The sequence below is a fragment of the Homo sapiens genome, chromosome 7 (assembly GCF_000001405.40).
Source record: "Homo sapiens chromosome 7, GRCh38.p14 Primary Assembly".
NCBI classification, from domain to species: domain Eukaryota; kingdom Metazoa; phylum Chordata; class Mammalia; order Primates; family Hominidae; genus Homo; species Homo sapiens.
In genome coordinates, this window is record NC_000007.14 from 41,298,991 (window position 1) to 41,301,650 (window position 2,660).

Sequence of the window (2,660 nt, forward strand, 5' to 3'; positions counted from 1 at the left end):
ATGTGAGGTGACTACTTCAAGGTCACCCAGAAAACTGATGGCAAAGCCAGGATAAAGATCCAGAGCCTCTAAAGCCTGAGTTGTATTTTGTGTGCACAATGTCACACAAAAAGACATCCTTTCCCTTTGACAGCCAGCCCCGATATGAATGAGTAATCTCTTGGAGAAAGTTTGGGGGTTTTGCAGTGTACCTTTCCTAATGCTTGGATTTTGGAAGGATATCAACATGTCTTTTCTGCAATGATGATGATAAAATAATAATGGCTAGTATCTTTTTAGTCATTGCTGTGTGCTAGGAGTTAAGTGCTTTGCATGCATTTTCTCATTTAACCCTAACAACTAAATTAAGTACTTTTGAATTTTCATTTTACAGATCCTGAAACTGATTGCTTAGAGTGATTAAATAATTTGCCCAGTGGTTGGAGCCAGGGCATAAAACAGGTACAATGAACTCCAGTATCTGTGATTTGGTCCCTATATTGCATTGTCTTTAACCACATTGGATGTTTTTAGCTTTTATGTCAGTTAATTTGTCAGTTTCTGCCAGCATATTTTGACTTCTTTGCTGTAGATGAAATATTTTCATGTAAAAAATTCATTTTATGTATTGATGTTTGTTTCCTAAGTAATACCCAAAACTATTGTATTTGCTTTTTTGTGTGTTTAGTATTCCTTTGTTTATTGCCAAACTTGGGCATGATTAAAATAGGAGGGCTCATATACTAGTTCCTTTTTATGGATGGATGCCTTGATAACGATCCTTGGGGCAGTTCTCTCTCTGATGGCCCGCATTTCTCTACTGCCCCTATCTAAGCACACTGATTTGAAACTAGACTATCACATTTATATTCATGAAACTAATTGAAACACATAGGCTTTATATGTGAAGATAACCGCTACAACCTGATTATAAGGTACCGACCTGAATTCAGGCATGCATTCCGTGACTGAAATGTAGAATGCGGTAAGCTTTTATGTTTTAAATATTTGGGTAGATTCATTTTTATGAGTGGTTTTTAAATCCCTGCTCACCTTCAATAAGCATTAGTACTTCATTCAATGGTCCAAGGGAGAGAAAACTCTGACCCATTTCAATTTTTTGCTGAGTGCCTATTGAGATCTGTTGATGACAGTGCTACTGCTACTCTGACCAGTTAAAGTAAAATCCCATTTCCTTTAGGATTCTTAGGTCGTCAGATGAATCCATTCAGTTTTTTCTGTCATTAGTCCAATACCTGGTCTTTTTAATTTTACGGCTTCTAATAGATGTGTATTGGAATACCATTATAGTTTTAATTTAAATTTTGCTAATGGCTAATGATCCTAAACATCTTTTCATATATTTATTTGCCACCATACTTGGCGAGGCGTCTGTTCTCGTCTTTTGTGCATTTTTAATTGGATGTTTGTTTTCTTATTAAGTTTTGAGTTTTAAAATATACATTAAATAAAAGTCCTTTGCCAAATATTTGATTTACAAATGTTTTCTCTCAGCCTGTAACTTGTTTTCCCTCCTCTTAGTGATATCTTTCACTGAGCAAAAGTATTTAATTTTTAAAAGCTTAGTTTATCTTTTATTTTCTCTTATGAACCATGCTTTTGATGCTGTGCTTAAGAACTCTTTCTCTAACTCTGTGTCTCAAATATTTTCTCCCTTATTATTTTTTTTAGTTCAAAATATTTTCTAATTTCCCATGAGACTTCTATCTAGAGGAAGAGTGTGGGTTTTTTTTGTTGTTTTTTTTTTTTTTTTTTGAGACGGAGTTTCACTCTTGTTGCCCAGGCTGGAGTGCAATGGCGCGATCTCGGCTCACCACAACCTCTGCCTCCCGGGTTCAAGCGATTCTCCTGCCTCAGCCTCTCGAGTAGCTGGAATTACAGGTACGCGCCACGACACCTGACTAATTTTGTACTTTTAGTAGAGACAGGGTTTCTCCAGGTTGGTCAGGCTGGTCTCGAACTCCCGACCTCAGGTGATCCAAAGTGCTGGTATTACAGCCATGAGCCACCGCCCCTGGCAAGAGTGTTAAGGTCTCTAACAATGACTGTGAATTTGTCTACCTCTCTTTTCCATCTGTCAGTTCTTGCTCCATTAGGTTTGAAGCTCCGTTGTTAGGTGCCTTCACATTTATAATTGTTAAGTCCACTTGGTGAATTAAGATTTTTTATGTTTATGTGACATTCCTTTTTATTCTTGGCAGTCTTCTCTTTTCTGAAGTAAACTATGTCTGAAATCATCTAGCCACGTGACTTTATTAATTAGTATTTGGAATAGCTCATGGTATCTTTTTTCATCCATTTATTAATTTATTTTTTTATTTCCATAGGTTATCGGGGAACAGGTGGTGTTTGGTTACATGAGTAAGTTCTTTAGTGGTGATTTGTGAGATTTTGGTGCACCCATTACCCAAGTGCTATACACTGCACCCAATATGTAGTCTTTTATTCCTCACCCCCTTACCACCTTTTCCCTCTGAGTCTACAAAGTCCATTGTGTTATTCTTATGCCTTTGCATCATCATAGCTTAACTCATGAGTGAGAACATACAATTTTGGTTTTCCATTCCTGAGTTACTTCACTTAGAATACTAGTCTCCAATCTCATCCAGGTCACTACAAATGCCATTAATTCATTCTTTTTTATGGCTGAGTACTATTCC